General features: G+C 42.1%; 1 protein-coding gene across 15 annotated transcripts in view; it reads right to left on the reverse strand.

Annotated features, from left to right (window-relative positions):
* MAP3K19 (mitogen-activated protein kinase kinase kinase 19) overlaps window positions 1-23,400 on the reverse strand; it is an 82,957-nt gene that overhangs the window by 12,170 nt on the left and 47,387 nt on the right. For 7 of the 15 annotated variants that reach the window (XM_017005005.3, XM_017005004.3, NM_025052.5 and 4 more), the window contains 6 exons: window positions 23,277-23,355; window positions 22,078-22,337; window positions 14,877-14,920; window positions 9,140-11,593; window positions 7,016-7,165; window positions 4,161-4,858 (listed from right to left, as the gene is read on the reverse strand). In XM_017005005.3, coding sequence (XP_016860494.1) covers window positions 4,161-4,858; window positions 7,016-7,165; window positions 9,140-11,593; window positions 14,877-14,920; window positions 22,078-22,337; window positions 23,277-23,355 — 3,685 coding nt within the window. Of the gene's footprint in view, window positions 1-4,053; window positions 4,859-6,519; window positions 6,672-7,015; window positions 7,166-9,139; window positions 11,594-14,876; window positions 14,921-22,077; window positions 22,338-23,276; window positions 23,356-23,400 lie in introns of those variants that run through there. The other 8 variants (XM_017005006.3, NM_001321177.2, XM_017005007.2 and 5 more) reach the window with 8 other exon arrangements.

A 23,400-nucleotide genomic window follows, 5' to 3' on the forward strand; every position in this document is an offset into this window, starting at 1 on the left:
CCAGATCATTTTCCAGGTGAAAATGGAAATAAATACTCTTAAAAGTATTTTGTATAAAAGTATTATATTTTGTGTCATTTCAAAAGTAAAAAAAAAAAAAATACAGCAAGGCACAGTGGCTCACACCTGTAATCTCAGCACTTTGGGAGGCTAAGGTGGGTGGATCACGAGGTCAGGAGTTCGAGACCAGCCTGGCCAACATGGTGAAACCCCGTCTCTACTAAAAAAACAAAAACATCAGCTGGCCACAGTGGCAGGCGCCTGTAGTCCCATCTACTTGGGAGGCTGAGACAGGAGAATTGCTTGAACCCATGGACGGAGGTTGCAGTGAGCCAAGGTCACACCACCGCATTCCAGCCTGGGTAACAAAGCAAGACTCCGTCTCGGAAAAAAAAAAAAAAAAAAAATTCTTTCACTATCTGGAGGCCCTTTCTCCGGCCTTTAAAATATGCAGAAATCTCTCTCCTTTAAAATCCTTTCCTTGAACTGGATACCATTTCTAGCTACCACCGCTCCCCCACCCACTTTTTTTTTTTTTTGAGACAGGGTCTCATTCTGTTGCCAAAGCTGGAGTGCAGTGGCATGATCACGGTTCACTGTGGTCTCAACCTTCCAGGCTCAAGTGATCCTCCCACCTCAGCCTTCTGAGTCACTGGGACTACAGGTGTACACAACCATGACTTGCTAATTTTTAAATTTTTTTTTTTTTTTTTTTTTTTTGAGATGAAGTCTCGCTCTGTCACCCAGGCTGGAGTGCAGTGGAGCAATCTCGGCTCACTGCAAGCTCTGCCTCCCAGGTTCACACCATTTTCCTGGCTCAGCCTCCCGAGTAGCTGGGACTACAGGTGCCTGCCACCACACCCAGCTAATTTTTTGTATTTTTAGTGGAGACAGGGTTTCACCATGTTAGCTAGGATGGTCTTGATCTCCTGACCTCGTGATCCGCCCGCCTCGGCCTCCCAAAGTGCTGGGATTACTGGCGTGAGCCACCGCGCCCGGCTAATTTTTAAATTTTTTGTAGAAACAGGGTCTCCCTATGTTGCCCAGGCTGATCTCAAACTCCTGCGCTCAATCAGTTATTCTGCCTCAGCCTCCCAAAGTGCTGGGATTACAAGCGTGGACCACTGCGCCTGGCCCATCCCATTTTAAATGTCTCTGCCAAATGTCTCTAACAAGGCTAAGCTCGGTGACTTCCCCCCTGTATTCTTAACCATTTGGCCCATTCCTCTATAGAAATTGCCCTCTTGAAATTAACCAGATTTAATGAGCTGTTTGTCATTTCTGTAGCGCTTGAAACATTCACTACTCCCTCCTACCTGAAACTACCTCTGCTTAGACTTAGGGACACTCTGTCCTCTTGTTTCTTCTTACACCTTGGGGCAACTCCCTTCCCTTCCTCCCTTCCCTTCTCCAGTTATGTGCTAGACTTGATGCCATGCATTTCTGTTAGCTTCCATTGTGAGCATTTTCAAAATATTTTCCTCAGCCCTATAATTTTGTTATGACTGTAGCAATCAACCTTATAATGATTTTTTTTTTTTTTTGAGACAGAGTCTCACTCTGTCCCTTAGGCTGGAGTGCAGTGGTGCCATCTCAGCCCACTGCAGCATCAACTTCCGGGGTCAAGCGATCCTCTCATCCTCTCACCTCAGCCTCCTGAGTAGCTGGGACTACGGGCACACACCACCATGCCTGGCTAATTTTTGTATTTTTTTGTAAAGATGGGGTTTCTTCATGTGGCCCAGGTTGGTCTCCATCTTGAACTCCTGGGCTTAAGTGATCCCCCCACCTCGGCCTTCCTAAGTGCTGGGATTACAGGCATGAGCCACTGCACCTGGCTGTTATAATTATTTTTAAATGTGTCCTTCCAATCTTAATTGCTTTCCTGAGCTGCAATTCCATAGCTTCAAATGTCTCCTTACAGGAGGTGGGAAGGGTTTAGCTGCCTCCCTGTTCTTCTCTCACAACTGTGATTTCTCCCATTATCCAGAGTCAAAAATGTGAAATCCTATCATTCTGCTCCATTACCAAGTCTTGATTCACCTTTTCTCTGAAATTTTCTGGAATCCTTTACAATCCCACTGCTTCTACCACCATCAGCATCCAAGCTCTGGATTTCTGCAGAGCTTTCTAGTCTCAAGCGACATCCATCCCAGGCCCTTCAATACATTGCCATCTGACCTGCCTTCCCAAAGACCCTTTTCTTTATGGCCTTTTCTACCCCAAATCTTTTGCAGCCCCCTGCTCCTCACTGCCTATTGCAACAAAGCTAAACTCCTTGGCCTGACTTCCCAGAACTTGATCTGTCAATAGGAGTACCCCCTCCATGCTTATTTCTCTCAGCTTCCCCAAGTTCATTTCTGTTTTCTTTAGACTTTCCCTAGTCTATGCCTGATTATCTCTATTTCTGAATCTTTAAGAGTGCCTCGCCCTTTATTTTCTGAATATCCCTATCTCCAAGGAGTATTGTTATTGATATCAGGTGAGATGCTAGGGTCCTCAGGGTCTTTGCCATAGAATTTTAGGAGGTAATTATATACTTGTATATGACTCTAATTAGGTAAGGTATGTTAATATTCTTCCTAATGATTATTAACTGTAAACTCCTAATTTTGTGCCCCACACTCTGCTAAGCAATTTACATGCACCATTTCACTTAACCTTCACAATAACCCTGTTAATTTTTATTAGTGGTGTGAATTGTATATTGCTTAGTTTATGAAGCAACGGTTCAAAAGGAGAGCCATAAAAGAAGATTCCACCCTTTCTCTTTAAAGTGCTTCGTGTGTGTGTGTGTGTGTGTGTGTGTGTGTGTGTAATCACAACTTGAAAGAAAATGAGAATAACAAGTGGTTTCTAGCTGTGAGTCAATAATATAGGTAATTGTTAAATTCGGAACAAAGCAACTACAATAGTTTTAACAGTTAACACCAATATCAAACTAGTACTTGTCTATACGATTTTCCAACACATTTATGCGGTTTTTTTTTTTTTTTTTTTTGGAGAGGGTGGGCAGCTCAGTGACTGGGGCTCTGTCCACAAAATCCACGCTGGAAACCTAAGGGTTCTCTGCATCTAGCAATGCCAAAAACTGTACCCCTGGAGTGGCATTCCTGCCCTGGCCCATGTAATCATCCTGAAATCAGCCAGGACAGGCTGATACACATGTGCTGGGAGAGAGAGACAGAGACTGAAAGAGAGGCACATTCATTGGCAGAGAGGGAGACCTGTAGATTCTAAGATTTATTCAGAAAGGCAAAATGAACCCCCTGGGAGTTGGGGGTTGCCATATGTGCTTGCTAAAAGATGGGACACTGGAGTTTTTCATCTAGGGATAAGAAGGCAAACTTACTTGAAAGACAGGAAATTGACTTTGAGTCTCAGGCCTTTCTTGTCCTCCAATTAAAGTTGAGCCTTGCTAGGTAGGTGGGTTTGGGGCTGCTGTGCAGTATCCTAGAGTGGGCTCCAGCACCCACAGCCCTACTCCTTAACTCTTCCCCGCCCCATGGATACACACTTTAACTAGAGCCATCTGTCTGCTTTTATTTTATTCTTTGATTTAAGATTTCTATGAGCAGAGTACCTGGCTAAAAATTTGAAAATCACAGCACTAGTTAATTTCCATTACATTACAGTTACAGTTCTAACATTTTACCCACAATTTAATTCCATAGATAGGAGAGAAGATAAGGAAGGGGAAAACAGGCAATTTTCTAAGGCTTTTCCGATTCACCAAATACTCCCCCACTTGACGCTTGAAATCTCCAATTTGTTTCTTTGGCTCAAAATGTTTCCCCTCACTTTAAATGCAAGATGATGTCATTTCACCCTAGCCAGTTCCTAGGAAGATGTCTCATTGGTAAATAAGTAGATCTTTAACAAATTTTGCAAACCCATTGATTTGGGCAAGTATTGACAGAACTTGATAAGACATTTAATTGAGGCACTTTCTACTTGAAGCATTGCCTCCTATACCCTGATACAACAATGAACACAATTACCCAATATGACTGATTATGATTACTTTCGGCACAAAATCACTGTCTACTTGACTTCATAACCAAAACAGAGCTTTTAATGGGCCATAAATTGAAAGGGAAATGTCTGCCACTTGGAATCTCCGGGCATTTATCTTCCTCCTCTTGCTTTCAGTTTCTTACCTGGTCAGGCACATGCGCACAAAGTCTGCTGCATTTTCTGAGAAGTGGTCTGGTAAAGGAGGCATCAGCCCTCGGTGTGCTCCGATGTAAAACATGGCGGCCATCCTGTCCATGGAAGCCAGTGGAGGCTTCCCTGTAGCCATCTCAAACACAGTACAACCAATGCTCCAGATATCTGATTTCCGTCCATAGCCAGACTCATTGATGACTTCTGGGGCCATCCAATATGGAGTCCCATGCATGGACTTAAGCATGTCACTGTGGGTGCCATTTAAACCTGCCCAGGCCAAACGCCTGGCACAGCCAAAGTCAATCAGCTTTATTATTCCAGTTGGCATGAGCATAACATTATTTCCTTTGATATCGCGATGTACCACACAGTTCTCATGGAGATAAGCAACACCTTGAAGTATTTGTTTCGTATATTTACAGAACACCATCTCAGGCAATGGCCCAAAACGGTTTATAATACTAGAGATTGAGCCACCAGGAACAAACTCCATGAAAATGCTCACAGTGTTCTCTTGCAAGCATGTCCCCAAATAGGCCACAATGTTGACATGTTTCAGTGCTTTGAGCAAATCTACTTCTTCCTGTAGTTTCCGGTATTCCTTTTCAGCAGCTAATTTATTAGAGGTATCCAAAGCCACCTGTTTTACAGCTATTAGCTGTCCTTGACTAGTGAGACCACAGTATACCTAGAAGCAAATCAATAATACCTTGTTATTAAATTAATGACATAACTTATTCACAAAATGCCTCAGGTGACACTTGACTTTCCCTTCTCTTTCTAAACCCTTGTCTTTCTCTAAGTTGATACCTCCCTTCCTAAATGCAAAGTGTTTAAGCAAATTCAGTGTTTCAGTGGAGCCAAGATGGGTATGAGAAACATGGTGGATGGATGTCATATTGGCTTAAAGTCAAGTGGCTTGAATTGGCTAGAATCCTGGCTTCATCTTTCCCCAGCTATATAACTTGGGATAAATGTGTAATCTTTTGACTTCAGTTTTTCTCATCTGTAAAACTGAGGTAACAATACTTGCCTCAGAGATTTCTTTTCTTTTTTTTTTTTTTTTTTTTGTTTGTTTTTAGACAGGGTCTCACTCTGTTGCCCAGGCTGGAGTGCATTGGCACAATCACAGCTCATTGCAGGCTCAACCTCCTGGGTTCAAGCAATCCTCCTACCTCAGCCTCCTGAGCAGCTCGTAGCTAGGATCACAGGTGTGTGCCACCACACCTGGCTAATTGTGTGTGTGTACTTTTTGTAGAGCCACCGTGCTACCTTTTTCTTTCTTTTTTTTTTTTTTTTTTTTTGGAGACAGAGTCTCTCTCTGTCACCCAGGCTGGAGTGCAGTGGCCCTGATCATATCTCACTGCAGCCTCAAATTCCTGGGCTCAAGCGATCCTCCTGCCTCAGTGTCCTGAGTAGCTGGGACTACAGGCATGTACCACCACACTAGGCTAATTTTTAAAGTATTTTTGTGGAGACGAGGTCTCTCTATGTTGCCCAGGCTGCCTCACAGATTTTTTTCTTTTTTTTTTTTTTTTGGAGACAGGGTCTCGCTCTGTCGCCCAGGCTGGAGTGCAGTGGTGTGATCTGGGCTCACTGCAACCTCTGCCCCGGGGTTCAAGCAATTCTCATGCCTCAGCCTCCTGAGTAGCTGGGATTACAGGTCTGTGCCACCACACCTGGCTAATTTTTGTATTTTTAGTAGAGACGGGGTTTTACCATATGGCCAGTCTAGTCTCGAACTCCTGACCTCAAGTGATCCACCCGCCTCGGCCTCCCAAAGTTCTGGGATTACAGGTGAAAGCCACCACACCTGGCCTGCCTCCCAGATTTCTATGATGACTACATGAGATGGTGGTTTGGAAAAGCTCCTGATAATATGTAAAATAGAGCTGGTTCAGCTCCCAAGCTCTCTGGAGTGAGAAGGAGACAGGCCCTGGAAATCACCATTGTGATGTAATCTCAGTGGTTTTGTGTCTTCCTGTCTTCTCACTGATTTCTGAAATGTCCCCATCTGGAGACAGCACAAGTCTTATTTGGGGGCCAGCCTTTTCTTTACTCGTCTATGTAAATAACTATCTAAAGTGCTAGGGTTTAGATATATAATGTTTGTACATATTTAAGAGGCACATCTGATATATTAATACATGCATAGAATGTGTAATGATCAAGACAGTGTGTTTAGGACATCCATCACCTCAAACATTTGTCATTTTCTTTGTGTTGGGGGCATTTCAATCTTCTAGCTAATTGGAAATACACAATATATTGTTGTTAACTATAGTCACCCTACTGTGTTATCAAACACTAGAACTTATTTCTTCTATCTGACTGTATGTTTGTACCCACCTCTCTTCATCGCCCACCCCCCAAGATCTCTTATGCAGTTCACAAAATGGAAGGAACATCTTTTGTTTTTGCCATCTAGTAATGATTCTCCAAACTTCCAGTAACATATTCAGCTGTTGAAGGAAGATATTTCTTTCCCATTGGACTTGAACCTGGGAGGATGAGAGGTTAGAAATGCAGTGGCCATTGAGTCACTATATGTGCCTGAGAAAAAGCCAGGCAAAGAGAGAGAGAGACCAGATCCTGATGACATTGTCTGATCCCTGAAGCCTCCTGGACCCAGAGCCAGACCTATTCCAGACCTTTCAGTCGGATAAAGCAGTAACTGTCCTTTCCCTCAGTGGTTGGATTTTCTGTTACTTCCAACTGAAAGAGTTCTAAGTAAAAGAGTGCTTGCCAGAGGAAGCAGGGAGGATGACTGGGGGAGTGGGAGGGGTGGAGGGAGGGACTGTGGGGGGGTGGGGAGTGCTGATTTCAAGTTTCCAGTTTAACTTACTGTGCCGTAGGCTCCCTTTCCAAGAATCTCACCCTTGGTCCATAGGATAGGTTCTTCAGACTTTAAACTATTTTCAGAAAATATCTTCTTTTCATTTGAGATGAGAAATTTCTCCTCCCTGTCATATATCCTGAGCCCACTACTATGCCTCTGGAAGAATGAGACAAAAGGAAAGATGACCATTAAACCAAGTCACTGGGATGGAGAGAAAGGGGTGAGAGTAAAGTCTTCTTTTCAAATGTTCCTGTCTGTGGCCACTCTTACAGGTAACTTCTAGAGACACATCATTCCCCCAAATGACCACATAGTGTATCTTAGTTGTGAACTTCAGCCTTGTTAATTATACACATTTTAAAACCACATCTTGCTCTGCATATTTTATAGGAGGAGATCTTAGTCCTGTTCATCTCAGGCCCCACATAGGCCTGCAGCTACTAACCACTGTCTTTTGAGAATTATCTTTCACAAGGTCCCTATCATGACAGAATATGTTAGTGTGTGCCATCTCCTCAGCCCCCTAACCTCAACTCTCTCCTCAAAATTCCCATTATCGTGGTCAGCTTGCTCCTAAACACAGACAAGTTCAGAAAGAGAAACATACACAGAGCTGGACACACACATAGAGACACACAAACTCATACACACATATTCACATATGTGTTCACACAAATGTACACACACATAAACATAAATATATATCATGCACACATATATATCATATATATACATACACATATGTACTGAGAGATAATATACAAACCAACAATGGCCAGATCATATATAAAAATAGAACTCTGACCTACAATGTGCAGCAACCAACCCAGGAAATCAACCCATTATCTACAGTAACCAAAACAGGAAGCCAGTTTACCATCCACAAGCCAGACTTGCAGTAAGTCAGACTAGTATCTCTAGCAAACAGTCCAGGAAGCTATGGGATAATTATTTACCTTGTATGTTCTTCTGACCAATAATTATTTAAAATAATTATTCCTGGCTGGGCGCCGTGGCTCACGCCTGTAATCCCAGCACTTTGGGAGGCCGAGGAAGGTGGATCGCGAGGTCAGGAGTTCCAAGACCAGCCTGGCCAAGATGGTGAAATCCCGTCTCTACTAAAAATACAAAAATTATCCAGGCGTGGTGGTGAGTGCCTGTAATCCCAGCTACTTGGGAGGCTGAGGCAGGAGAATCGCTTTAACCCAGGAGGTGGAGTTTGCAGCAAGCCGAGATCGCAGCACTGCGCTCCAGCCTGGGCAATAGAGCAAGACTCCATCTCAAAAAAAAATTATTCCTGATCCTGATATAGTGTGGATATAGTGCAGTATGACCTGAGTTAGTGTTCAATAAATAATATTTCAGTTTACCTACTGTTTCTGTCTTTAAAATTTCAGTTTGGGAGGCTTGTGTACTTTAGTGAAAACGATAACAAAGAAAACCCGACTATGTGTTGATCTTCTTCCCCACTCCATGCCAACTCTCATGCCAAACAAAATTTTTAAAAATCTTATTTCAGGATTTTTGCTTACACTTCCATGAGAGCAATGGCCGAGTCTTGTACAGCACTATGCTCCTAGTTCTTGGCCCACTGCCAGAAGCACAGTAGGCATCAATAATAATTTTGCATTAAAGTAGTGAATCATCTGAGAGCAAATGCTCAGGTGTAGGGGCTCTGAGAAATGTACATTTCATGTCTTCCTATGAACAAAATGGTGAGCCACTTCTGGAGCCATGTTCATTTCTTTCTATCTCACATACCTAGAGCAATGTCTTGCCTATAATTATGTATCTGCTGATAGTTGGAAATGATATGCTGTTGATTGAAAATGTCATCATTGAATAAAATACTGACCTATTTGAATGGTTTTGCTAAATTAATTTAACCAAACTGATTTCATTGCAATGTCAAGCTAGCTAAATTCCAGAAGGGAGTCAATATAATGAAAACATCTTAGCCTGGGGGTCAGAGGACCTGATTTCCAACCTTGTGATCAAACAGTGAGACCTTGAAAAAACTATTTAATTGTTTAGGGTTTATAATTCCTCATTTGAAAATAAGGGGTTTGAACCAGATTGTCTCTGAGGTCCTTCCCACCCCAATGAATCTTGGATTCTAATTATACCAACCTGTATTTTGACTTTTGTTGTCTCTCTGCCCATTTCTTTTGGGGTACTTCCTCTCCATCTGAGGACAAGATTTAGGTTTTCAGGATCTGTTTCATTTGCCATTTTTTGGCAAGAGTTGTTATCTTTCTCATCAAGAGCTAATAATTCTGCAGCTAGACAACCTAATAGTTCATCTGTCAATTCTTCATTATTTACAGAGTCCATAATTTCTTGGGAAATTGAATTTGTGCCACTTAAGGTTTTTCCAAACATTTGATATGTGATTGACTTATTTGCTAAACTATCATGATCCAAATAATGTACCCAATATTGATATGTCTGGGAAGATGCACTTTCTTGTTTTGCTTGGAAAGAGAAATTTGTAAGTGTTTTAGAGTGATCTGAAACACTATCAAACTCTAGATCATTAGTTAAAATTCGGCTGGCATTTACTTTACTAAGAGATGCTGTATTCTGCTTTTCTTGCTGTACATACTTGTTAGAATTCTTCTCACTGGGCACTGCCCAGCTGTCTTCTGAAGGGATAAATGGGATCTGGTGATGTAGCTCTTCAAGTTCTTGCAGATCTCTGAGGCTTGTGGTGAGTATTTGATTGTTAGAAATGTCTCTATCACCAGTAGACTCTTCCATAGAAACTTCTTCAACAATGGATAAATCTGAGACAGGAGGGAATTCATTCTGTTTCATGGACTGCTCAGGTGTCTGAGCCAAGTTCATGGGATGAATTTCATCTTTGGAAGATAGAAACTCATTTCCTGAAGACTTTATCTGCCAGTCTGGTTCTGAAATACCATCACCATTTTCAATGTCATGTAGGTTGCTATGTACAGCCTTGGAACTCTTTTCTTTAGAAATTAAGACTTTGTGCTCTTGTTTAATGCCAAATGAAGTCTTTGGGCATTTCATATGTGTTTTTTTCTGAGAAAGTCTTGTTCTGATATTGCTCTTCCTCTCACTGTGTGAAGATCGACATTTATTGGTGATACGTCTGCCTGATGGAGCCGAACATATCTCACGGTAATACGTGTTTTCATCCCTTTCAGTCTCTCGCACATGACAATAAACAGGGGTCCCAAACATTTCATAGATTCCAGGTCCATTAGCAGTTGAATTGATTTCTTTGAACATATCACTATACTTAAGATCTAGGTAATTTAGTCTTGGCTCTGTCGGTTGAACAGAGAGAGGAACACATGACTTCTGTGTTCCTGGATTTTTACAGATGCAAGGAAATGATTGCTTTTTAGGTTTCTGAGTCCGGTGAGTTGATTGCTTCTTTGCTATCTGTGGCATTTTCTTTTGAAACCTGGGCAATTGCCAAGGCCTGGGGTCCACAAGTCCCAAAGCCGGGAAAATTTGTGTTTTTATGCTGGTTTTATGCATGGTAGGCTTAATGGGACCTTCAGTAGAAATCACAAAATTCTGAGGTGTCTTCTTACTTGTCTTGGTCTTTGAATCCAACTTACTCCTATGGGAATTCATCTTATGCTTGTCATTTTCTTGGTGTACAGGTATGTTGACACTATGGTTGTTATGAATGGTTCCCTTTCTTGTTTGGAGGCTTGGTTTGGCTATCACTGGTTCCTTGGGGCTTCCATCCACAGGGAAGGTGATGTGGATAAGAGGCACCATCCTACTCATTTCTGGTTTGGCTCTTTCTGCTATTGATATTTTTATGTTTGTCTCCATGCTGCTACAACCTTCTGGGAGTTTATCAATGGGGTCATCAAAGACTACACTGGATAAGCTTTTAAGTACAGTACACTCTTCTAAAATATTGTTTGGTTCCATTGCTTCATTTTTATGTAATGAAACTCTTTTTGAAGCAGCTTTATTATTTCTCATCTCTTCATCCTGGCTTGGAGTTATTTCTGAATGCTGGGTTTCTTGGAACTTGCTTGGAATGGTACATACTATTTCTGGATCTTGTTCATAGTTTTTGGCTACTGAACTCTCATTCTTTCTTGATGAAAGATATTGAGAGTTCTCTTCTTCAGGTTTTCGCGTTTTACTACCATGGCAGTCAATATCCTCTTCCCTAACTGCAGGAATATTGCCTTCCTTCAAATTCTCAAAAGACACCAAAGACTGCCCTTTTTCAAAGTGAGTGATTTCAATTTTGTTACATTCTTCTATTTCCTTGGATTTCCAGTTTTCCTCCTTCTCCAGGCATTGCCTGTGATGGTTAGTCTTAGGAAAAGAGCACATGTTTCTTGACCAAATGAAGCCATCAGAAGACCTGAGAGTCGGATCCATCAACGACTTAACTAGGGCTCCCGGAGGCTCGTTTGATGGGCTGAGCTCATCAGATTGACGAACAGACACTGAGAGCTTAGGCACAAAAGATGTGAGACTTGGAATGTTTCTTTCTTTTTCTTTTGGAAACTTGTGATTTTGGGGGATAGTAAGGACACCAGATCGCGTGGGCAAGAGTGACAGTGGTGGCAGAAGGAACTAAAAGGAAGACAGAAAAAGCTGTGAATGCAGAAACATATATAAATATCACGCTAACTCGTTTAAAGTAGTCTAAAGAGATTATAATATCCTCTTAAGGAAGGCTTTTAAAGTTCAAAGCTATCCTGGAAATCACAATTCTTTTTTTTCTTCTTGAGACAAGATCTCGCTCTGTCACCCAGGCTGGGGTGCAGTGGCATAATCACAGCTCATTGCAGCCTTGACTTCCTGGGCTCAAGCGATCCTCCCACCTCAGCCTCCCAAGTAGCTGGGACTGCAGGCATGTGCCACTATGCTCGGCTAATGTTTAAATTTTAGTAGAGACAAGGTCTCTCTATGTTGCCCAGGCTGGTCTCAAACTCCTGGCCTCAAGCAATCCTCCCACTTCTGCCTCCCAAAATGCTGGAATTACAGGCATGAGCCACTATGCCTGGAAAGATCACAATTTTTAAAATTAAAACCTCATTCCCAATATTTTTTTTAGAACCAATTTAAAACAACACGTTTTAAAACCAGGATTATTATAGATGTAAATATTCATGGTTATATATTTTTAAATGAAGGCCCTATAATGTAAATGGTAAAAATTTAAGATAAGAAGCATTTTATTTCTCTTCTTTTTTCTTTTTACTTTCCATAGAATTGATTTAAGATTTTTGAAATCCCACTGAAAACAGTTTAAAATTGCTGTTAAAATACCTCAAAAATTACCAGTTATTGACTAACTCAGAATTCATATCCGAAACACAACTACTCACCATCGTTTTGCTGAATTAGTTTGTGAATGAAATGTACAAAATTTCATTTTTGTGGATGACAGGCAAATGGATGGCTTTCCTTTCTCCTTTGCCCTCTAGTTTCAAACTAAGCTAGTTTTTCCTTTCTCCTTTGCCCTCCTCTAGTTTCAAACTAAGCTAGTTTTTATTATCATCCTGTAGAGGTCAGTGTAACCCAATGTATAATATTAAACTTTGCGGGCAGTAAGCTATAAACTCCTTAACTTTATGCTTCTTTTCATTGTGGTCTTTTCCTGTGTATACAGATTCAATACCTATTTATATCACAATATTTATAGGCATGGGTCATGGGTAGTAATTGAGAAATGTATGTTTAATTTTCATTCTATTGCCACCTGTGTGTAAGAAGGAAGGAAATGGAACCTGACTCTAGAAACTTAGGCATTAAAAGTAGATGAGATGTAGTGTAGACCCCAGTTTTACTGTCTAGATGATTTTCCTCATTTCTCAAAAATGACTTAGGACATAAAGGCAGATTCATCCAGTGCTTAACCATCTGCCTAGTAACAGCCATTACAATTTTTTAGGTCAATAAACTCCTTTTACAATGCTAAGCAGTACCTATGCATAAGTATTTCTCAAAGGCTCATAGGAAAAGAAGGGTCAGGTAGTTGAGAAACTAAGAATTGCAAATATCTTTCCAAAAACTTATAAATTAGACAGCTAGGAAAATCTTTCCACCACTGGGGGAAAGAAAAGAATTGCCTAATTTCTAAATAGGTTGAAAAAAGACAAATTAAAATATGTCTGGCCAGGTGTGGTGGCTCACACCTGTAATCCCAGCACTTTGGGAGGCCGAGGCAATCGGATCACTCAAGGTCAGGAGTTCAAGACCCACCTGACCAACATGGTGAAACCCCATCTCTACTAAAAATACAAAAATTAGCTGGGTGTGGTGGCAGGTGCCTGTAATCCCAGCTACTCAGGAGGCTGAGGCAGGAGAAACGCTTGAACCCAGGAGGTGGTGGTTGCAGTGAGCCGAGATTGTGCCAACTGCACTCCAGCCTGGGCAACAGAGTGAGACTCTGTCTCAAAAAAAAAAAAATGTCTAAGGGAGCTACTCAGCTCATTATGTAAAGAACAGAAACACTCCAGAAAAGCACTGCACATGGCAAGGCATAATTTTCCCAGGAACGATTTGCTACTCTAGGAACTATATGTGAGTTGTTGTTTTTCCAAGAAATACAGTTGACCCTTGAACAACAGGGCTTCAAACTACGCAAGTCCACCTATATGTGGATTTTCTTCCTCCTCTGCTACCTCTGTGACAGCACGACCAAGCCCTCCTGTTCCTCCTCGTCCTCAGCCTATTCAACATGAAGACAGTGAGGATGAAGACCTTTATGGTGATCCACTTCCACTTAATGAAGAGTAAATATATTTTCTCTTCCTTATGATTTTCTTTTTTTGTTTTTTTTTTTTGTTTGTTTGTTTGTTTTATTTTTGAGACGGAGTCTTGCTCTGTTGCCAGGCTGGAGTCCGGTGGCATGATGTCGGGTCACTGCAACCTCCACCTTCCAGGTTCAAGCAATTCTCCTGCCTCAGCCTCCCGAGTAGCTGGGACTACAGGCACCCGCCACCATGCCCAGCTAATGTTTTGTATTTTAGTAGAGACGGAGTTTCACCATGTTGGCCAGGATGGTTTCGATCTCTTATCCTCGTGAACCACCCGCCTTGGCCTCCCAAAGTGCTGGGATTAAGGCGTGAGCCACCACACCTGGCCCCTTATGATTTTCTTAATAACATTTTATTTTCTTGGCTTTATTGTAAGAATACAGCATATAATACATATAACACAAAATGTGTGTGTTAATCAACTGTTTATGTTATCTATAAGGCTCTGGTCAACAGTAGGCTACTGCAGCCATGTGCGGTGGCTAACATCTGTAACCCTAGCACTTTGGGAGGCTAAGGGGGAGTATTGCTTGAGGCCAGGAGTTCAAGACCAACGTGGCCAACATAGCGAGACCCTGTCTCTAAACAAAACAAAACAGAACACCCAGCACTTTGGGAGGCCGAGGCGGGCGGATCACGAGGTCAGGAGATCGAGACCATCCTGGCTAACATGGAGAAACCCCGTCTCTACTAAAAATACAAAAAATTAGCCGGGCGTGGTGGCGGGTGCGTGTAGTCCCAGCTACTCGGGAGGCTGAGGCAGGAGAATGGCGTGAACCCGGGAGGCGGAGCTTGCAGTGAGCCGAGATTGCACCACTGCACTCTAGCCTGGGTGACAGAGTGAGACTCTGTCTCAAAAAACAAAACAAAACAAAACAAAACAAAACAAAACAACCGGTAGGCTATTAGTAGCTAAGTTTTGGGGGAATCAAAGCTTATGTGTGGATTTTTGACTGTGTTGGGGACATCAGTGACCCTACCCCCTGCATTGTTGAAGGGTCAAGTGTAATTGCTGAGGATTTGGTTCTAAATTAGTGAATAGAGTTGTTTGGTTTTAATTCTCAAGTCAAAAATGCTAGCACTAATCTTACCTTGATGCTTCGGCCACTGTACTTCATATGAGAGGTCGAAAACTCTACAACAAGAAAAACAATAACTGGATATTCTTAGTAGTAGAAAGAAAACAGTCTCAAGCCAGAGTCTGGGGATGGAGTAATACAGATGCTAAGGGGTCTGAGGAAAAGTTGTAGAAATTGGAGGTTTCCCCTGTGGAATTCACACAGAGGTGGAATCATCACACAAAACTTCAGGCTGCTGCCACTAGCAGGGGTTGCTGTTTTATATTTATATCTCTATTCTGACAGAAAACCTGAGATCTCTGGACCAGAGAGCAGACCATTTATCACTCACAGAACATTGTAATGCCAGTTCCCCACAACCCAGTTCCTCACAGGGCAACGTGATGAGAGCCGGGTGTTGACCTGCACAGCTGGCAGAGCTGCATCACAGGAGGGAGCTCTGGAATGATGAGACTCAGGTGGTATATTGGGTGGTGGCACTTTAGCCCATCTTTCCCTCCAGAGAAGGAGAGAGCACTTTACTATGAATTGTAAGCAAATGCCTCCAGGAGAAAGATGACTCTATGTTTTATTACCCTAGAATATAAGCAAACAGCTTTTGGGAAAATCAGCCTCTAAATTTCTCTGGAGCAATACACTAACTTCGGAGGCGTTTCTGACATTCAGTCATCTTTTAACTTAGTTTCCTAGTGTTTTTTGCTTAGAAAGCCTGAACTGTGCAGAAATGTGAAAATATTCTTGTATAAGTGTCTCCCAACAGTTGTTTAAACTAGATCGACCATAAACTCTGAAAGGTGAGTGTGAGGAAGACTCACCTAGGGAACGAGATGGGACTTACTAGGTAGTATAAAACTTACAAGTTGTTCTCTTCTTACCAAAAAGTCAGAATGATCCCCAAAACCCCATGAACCACCACCACCACCACTTCTGCATAGTTTGGACTTTCTAAAGCTGAAGCCAAAAGCTCCAGTGTCTCCAGGGTCAAAACAGTTCACAGAAATGGATGATGTGGGACAGGAAGACACAGCAGTAAATCGAGATCATATGCCCAACTAAAGGGGCATCATTACCCAGCTCGCAGTGATGTTATCCAACCCAGATAGATAGTCCAGCCCTGCTACATCTTCCAAAAGAAGCCAGAGAGCTGCAGATTTTTTTTTTTTGAGACAGGGTCTCGCTCTGTCGCCCAGGCTGGAGTATAGTGGCATGATCTCAGCTCGCTGCAACCTCCACCTCCTGGGTTCAAGCAATTCTCCTGCCTCAGCCTCCCGAGAAGCTGGGATTACAGGCACCTGCCATCATGCCCGGCTAATTTTTTGTGTATTTTTTATTTTTTAGTAGACACGGGGTTTCACTATGTTGGCTAGGCTGGTCTCGAACACTTGACCTCGTGATCCACCGGCCTCGGCCTCCCAAAGTGCTGGGATTACAGGTGTGAGCCACCGCGCCCAACCCAAGCTGCAGGTTTTATGTGAAATCTCCTTCCCCCACCCTTGCTTATTTATTTAAAATTTTTATATTTTTAATTTTTTGTATAGACAGGGTCTTACTGTATTGCCCAGGCTGGTCTCAAACTCCTAGGCTCAAACAATCCTCCCTTCTTGGCTTCCCAAAGTTCTGGGATTCCAGGTGTGAGCCACTGGGCCTGGCCTCTCCTCCCTTGTTTTTCAATGTTGTGAGGGTCAAACAAATGTCTGTAGGTCCATTTCAGCCTCAGGCTGTCATTCTGAAGTTTCACACGGAGAGAAAAAGACTTCTAAGATTTAACACAGTAGAAAAGCCAATCCCAGGTGAAAAACAAGTCACCTAAGAAGAGGACCCCAACAGGCAACAGGAGGGGGCACAGGCATTCCCCTTGGACACAGCTGGCCATGGCACCTCCCCTTCATTCTTAATGCATTTACTCAACAATTATTTACTGAGTGCCTGCTGAGTGGCCAACACTGTCCCAGAAGATGGCAATTTATAGTTGTGGGCAGGAAAGACAGATCTTTGCTCTTTGCTCCCAGAGGTTGCATTCTAGAGGTTGAGGTTTTCTATTGAAAAGATGTTAGAAGTTAATCTAGAAATACAACTGAATATAATTTATAGTTGGGTACATAATGGATAGCATCCTGAATTTTTTAAAAAAACGCTTTCAAGTATTCTTATAAATATTTGAATATGTATTATCCAGTATTGGTCAGGAATTATGTGGGGTAAAGACTTTTGGTGGGAATGTAGAGGCAAGATCTTTCTGGTAGGTAATTTGGTAACATGTGTCAAAGCCTTTTAAAAATGTGTAGAGACCACTCTGAGCAACATAGCGAGACCCCATCTCTACAAAAAATGTTAAAAGTAGCCAGGTGTGGTGCCATGCACCTGTACTCCCAGCTACTCAGGAGGCTGTGGTGGAGGATCACTTAAGCCTGGAATATTGAGGCTGCAGCGAGCCATGTTTGCACCACTGCACTCCAGCATGGGCAACAGAGCGAGACCCTATCTCCAAAAAAGTAAATAAAATAAAATAAGTACAGAGTTCCAATTAAAAATGGCAGATTGAATGTACAAGCTTTTCTCCAATCCCTCCACAAATCACACTAAAATCACAGTAAAAGAATTAAAAAACATGTAAATAAGGACAAAAAATAAAAACACCCAAATGATAAAACAACAGATGAGCAATATCAACATTTTGGACAGAGAAAACTATATGGACGAATAATAACTGATTGAGTTGTCAGCTTTCTGTGTTCTGCCCAATGCTTGCAAGGGGACAGCCCAACCAGAAATAAGAATTTCAGAAAGGAATGGGAACTGAAGGTACCTCTGAAGACAGGGATGCAGGCAAGACTGAAACGAGAGGGTGCTCATAAGTCTGTGCTGGAATAAGTACTGGATTCCCTGCCCTGTCCCCTATGAGGAGTTACTCTTCTCCTTTCCTGGCAGTTGGCTGGAAGTTTACTCCCTGGAGGGCTTGAAACAAAGATGCTAAGGAGCTGGGTATGGCTGGGAGCAGAAATGGGGAGCTGGAGTGAAAATATGAGGACAAAGAAGAGTCTACACACTGAAATATGAACCCCATTCAGTGCCAAGAATGTTGCCTCCAGTCTCATAACCTACAGGCAGGTGTTTGGATTATCTCTCTGGGGAAAACTAGCTGAGAGAAAAGGTCCATTGATCTATACAAGCTGACACTTGGGAATCCCTCTATCAATCGTCCAGTTCTCCACCTATTCAGCTCCTTTGAGGCCCATTCAACAAGCTCACTCAAACATACAGAACTTTTTAGTGAAACTCTTTTAGATACAAATTCAACTGATATGTGAGGATATGTGATTCAACTGATATGTGAGGAAATGCTCCAATATGAACATACAGAGAACAGATCAAACTGAAAGAAAGAAAAGAGCTCAGAAGAATTAGAGACAACAAACAACTCTATCTTTCATATTCTCCGTGTACCCTTTCTCAAGAAGCTGCTGGGAAATATGCCCTAGTAAAAGAGGATTAAGTAAAGCAAGGAAGCCAGGCAAGGTGGCTCAAGCCTGTAATCCCAACACTTTGGGAAGCTGAGGTGGGTAAATCACTTGAGCCCAAGAGTTCAAGACCAGCCTGGGCAATATAGTAAGACCCCATCGCTACCAAAGAAATTTTTTTAAAGTAGCTAGGCCTGGTGGTGCATGCCTGTAGTCCCAGCTACTCAGGAGGCTGAAGAGGGAGAATGGCTTCAGCCCAGAAGACGGAGGCTGCAGGGAGCTGAGATCGCGCCATTGCACTCCAAGCATGGGTGACAGAGTCAGACTCTGTCTCAAAAAAAAAAAAAAAAAGTAAGGAAAGGAAGATTAAGCCACATATCCAGTACACAAGGATTCAACACAGCAAGGAGGCAAGGGAATTCCCAGGATGACACGAAGGGAATCTCAGATGGGCGGCTGGGCAGTGGATCCAGAGAGCAGGTGGTGTGGAGTAAAATTAGAGGCCAGGAGGGTCCAGGAGCAATGTCTCCAAAAACAAAAGGAACCAACAGATTGCCTGATATCTAATCACCTGTATTGAGATTTGTTTTATAGGTGCAATACACAGGATGGGATGAATTAGTAACAGATATACAAAAAGTAAGCAAATGAAGAAATGAAGTGGTTATTACTAATGCTGAGATAAATACAATGTCTAAAAGGAGAGGAAATGTAATCAACACACTATGGAGCTCAGCTGCAAATAATATTTTACCTAGTCATAATAACAGAGACATTGAATATTGATTTTAAAAAAATAGACACAAAGATTGGGAAAATTGGGCATTGCTTGTGTGTGAGGCAAGTAATGTAAAAGTAATAAATCTTAATAGATGAAGCCCAAACTGAACAATTAATAAATACCATTCTAAACATGATATTTAGCAATATGAAAGTACACACTAGAAGAAAGTCTTGTACTAGCTGTACTTTTTTTTTTAAGAGATGAGGTCTGTCACCCAGGCTGGAGTGCAATGGACTAATCATCATCCACTGCAGCCTTGGCCTCCTGGAATCAAGCAATCCTCCCACCTCAGCCTCCCGAGTAGCTGAGCCTATAGGTGTGCACCACCACAGCCACCTAATTTTTAAAATTTATTTTTATATATGTACTTTTTTTAGAGGTGGAGTCTGCCTATGTTGCCCAGGCTGGTCTCAAACTCCTGGCCTCAAGCAGTGCTCCTGCCTCAGCCTCCCAAAGTGCTGGGGTTACAGGCGTGTGCCTGTGCACAGCTAGTACTTCTTATTTCTTTTTTTTTTTTTTTTTTTTTGAGACTTCAAGTGATCCGCCCATCTTGGCCTCCCAAAGTGCTGCCCTGGACCTGATTATTGTTATTATTAATTAAAAGTGCATTTGTAATGGCTATGTGCCAGGTATGATGCCAAATGCTTGGAGGTTGAATTATTCTTGCTTTTGTAATCCGGCGAAGATGAACACGTAAACAAATAGTGACAATTATGCTTGATTAGTGCTATGTTGTAGGTAAGGTCAGGATCCTATAGCGGAACAAAGAAAGGGCAACTCATCCAGTCTTGGGAAGTTCAGGAAGACTTCCCAGAGGAAGGGGTTTCTAAGACAAAACCTGAAGGATGGCATAATGCTCCAGCAGAAAGAACAGTAGGTGCAAATATTCACATGCATGTTTAGGGAATAGAGGGCATTTAGTGTGCTAAAGTTTATCATGCTGCGAAGGAAGAGTGGCAAGATATGAGGCTGAAAGAGGCTGTTGAAGCTGAACACGGTGGCTCATGCCTGTAATTCCAGCACTTTGGGAGGCCAAGATGGGAGGATCACTTTAGCCCAAGAGTTCAGTAACAGCCTGGGCAACATGGTGAAACCCCATCTGTACCAAAAAACAAACAAACAAACAAACAAAACTAGCCAGGCGTGGTGGCATGCACCTGTAGTCCCAGCTACCCAAGAGGCTGAGGTGGGAGGATCGCTTGAGCCCAGGAGGCAGAGGTTGCAGTGAGCCAAGATCACGCCACTGCACTCCAGCCTGGGCAACACAGCCGGAATGTGTCTCAAACAAACCAACAAACAAACAAACAAACAAAAAACAAAAAAACGCTATCAAGATTTGGGAACTAACTTTGTAAATTTCAAGGAACAAGAGTCTAGGTCCACTTCAAGTCCAGATTTCTTATGAACTATTTTACATATAGCCCATCAAAACACTGCTTCACCATTATGCCAAATGAAACAAGCCAGACACAGGACAAATATTGCATGATTCCATTTCTATAAAAGACCTAGAATAGTCAAATTCGTATTGAGACAGAAAATAGAATAGTGGTCACCAGAGGCTTTGGGAGAGTGGGAAATATAGAGTTATTGTTTAAGGGGCACAGAGTTTCAGTTTTGCAAGAAGAAAATGTTCTGGGGATGAATAGTTGTGATGGTTACACAACAATGTGAATGTACTTAAATGCCACTGAACTGTACACTTGAAAATGATTAAAATGGTCAATTTTATGTTACACACATTTTAGCATAATAAAACAAAAAAAAATTTAGGCCAGGCGCAGTGGCTCACACCTGTAATCCCAGCACTGTGGGAGGCCAAGGTGGGAGGATCACGAGGTCAAGAGATCGACACCATCCTGGCCAACATGGTGAAACCCCATCTCTACTAAAAATACAAAAATTAGCTGGGCGTGGTGGCATGCGCCTGTAGTCCCAGCTACTTGGGAGGCTGAGGCATGAGAATTGCTTGAACCCAGGAGGCAGAGGTTGCGGTGAGCTGAGATTGGGCCACTGTGCTCCAGCCTGGTGACAGAGCGAGACTCCGTCTCAAAAAAAAAAAAACTTTAAGCACTGCTTCATTTAAATTTCACTTAAAATGTACCCTTCTCTTAAAATCCCATAATAATTATTCTTTTTTTTCTTTTTTGGTAGGATGTGTCACAGCTCCACTGGCATGCAGTCTCCCTCATTGTGATAAATCAATGAATGTAACTTGTTGGATTATAAGGTTGTTCCTGGTGGTTTTGGCTGGTTGGTTGAGGACAGTGGTAAACAAGTAGCAAAGACAATATTGCCGCAGGGGGAAATGCTGGCATCAGTGCTGCTATCTAGCAAATGAGTCTTGGGCTCAATGTAGTTGGAAGTTGGCTCTTAGACTTGCACATTAACTTGGGGATCCAGGAATAAGGCTAACGTAGACTCAAGTCCATAATGACCCTGGGACCTGGTAGAAGTAAATTCAATACTTCTGGCCAAAAGCATCCACAGCGTGGGCCCCCAAGATTCCCACAGATAAACATCAACCAAATATGAGCTCACAATGAAGATTTTCAAACACTCAAGAAAAAAGTCAACCATAGTGCAAATCAGTAGGATATTGATACTGAAATTATCAAGTATAGTTTACAAAATAATGTCTGAAATGTTTAAAGAAATAAGCAATGAAATAATCTAAACAATAAGATATTCTCAAAATATTTGCCTTCTATTCCTTGAACAAATATATAAACATTTGCACATATAGTGCTCTTTCTGCTGGAACATTATGCCATCCTTCATTTTACTTGTTTACTAGTTTATTGTCTGTCTCGCACCCCCATGACCCCCAGGAATGTAAATTACACAAGGGCTGGGGTTATTTTCTGGTATGTTCACTGCTTTATCTCTAGCATTTAGAACAGTGCCTGGCACAATACATAAATATTTGTTGACCAAAAGGACTCACTGTGGAATTCAATGTTCAACTTACCTTCAGATTTTCTTTGCTGCTCCTTCAGAAAATGAGGAGCATCTTCTCTGGTTACAGACTTGGAAATGTTCAGTTCTAAACAAGATCTTGGTAGCAAAAAGCCCAAGTTCACATTGCAGAGCTCCCTGGAACTTTCCTCTTTTTGCAAAACTAAGGGCCGCATGGTCAGCTTCTTTTTCCTGAGCTCCACCGTTTCTATTTCATTTGGATGAGAAACTGCATGTGCTTGTGCCCATTCTTGAAGCGATGAGTTTATCAGACTAAAGGGGGAGGGAAATGTTTGATTTAAAACTCAGTTGCCACATCTTCTGGATCTCCAGTCCTCAGTTCAGCCTGACATCACTAGAAAGTTTGAAGAACTACTTCCAAATGGTGCTGCTGAAAGGAAAGGCTGAATCCTGAGAGGGTAAGACATCTCCACCTGCTGACTCCTCCTGGCCTCCTTAGCCCTCTGTACCATCGCTTGGATGGATTAGGTTTCAGCTCACTCTCGTTTTCCCAATCACCATTTCCTTGCACAGAGAAATCAGAGACCAAGGGCAGGCCTGGGGGATGTACCCTTTTATCTCCACAGGTACTGACTAGCCCAGTGTTTCTCAAACTATTTTTGATGAAGAACCAGCATTTAAATTTCCAGTCATTGTGAACTGATACTTTTGTAAAATATAAATGAATTGCCATAAAAATGGAAGAAAAATAAAAGACATGCAAAAAATAAGCCTCAATTTGTTTCACTACCCGATCAATGAACGTAAGTTATTTGCCAAATTGCTTTGCAACTTTTTTAATGGTCACCCTCGCAGCCTGTCCTGACCTCATCATGGACTAGTAACAGGACCACAGAACCACATTCTAAGTAGCTCTGCCCTGCAGTAGGGTCAGCAAACTACAGCCCGGGGACCAAATCCAGCCTTCAGCCTTTTTCTGTAGCTTTAATTGGATCACAGCCACACTCATTTGTTTACATATTGTCTATGGCTGCATTCAAATGACAGTTGCAGAGTTGAATCATCACAACAGAGACCATATGGCCCACACAGCCAAAGTGTTTATGATCTGGCCTCTGCCACATACTATTTATTGTGACCTCTACTTTTAAGCATTATTATGGATTCAATTACTAATAATGTAGGTTGCCATATGACTATCATTGCTTCATACTTCATTTCAAATCTGATACTTCAAAGAATATTCCTTACTTCTTTTCTTTTAAGTCTTCTTGGCTCATTTCTTGGGGAGGACTGACATCTCTTGGAAAAGTTACAGTGATCTCAACACCTGTAGAAACATACCACAGTAGTAGAAGGAAGAAAGTAATGAATT

The sequence above is a fragment of the Homo sapiens genome, chromosome 2 (genome assembly GCF_000001405.40).
Source record: "Homo sapiens chromosome 2, GRCh38.p14 Primary Assembly".
Lineage (NCBI taxonomy): Eukaryota > Metazoa > Chordata > Mammalia > Primates > Hominidae > Homo > Homo sapiens.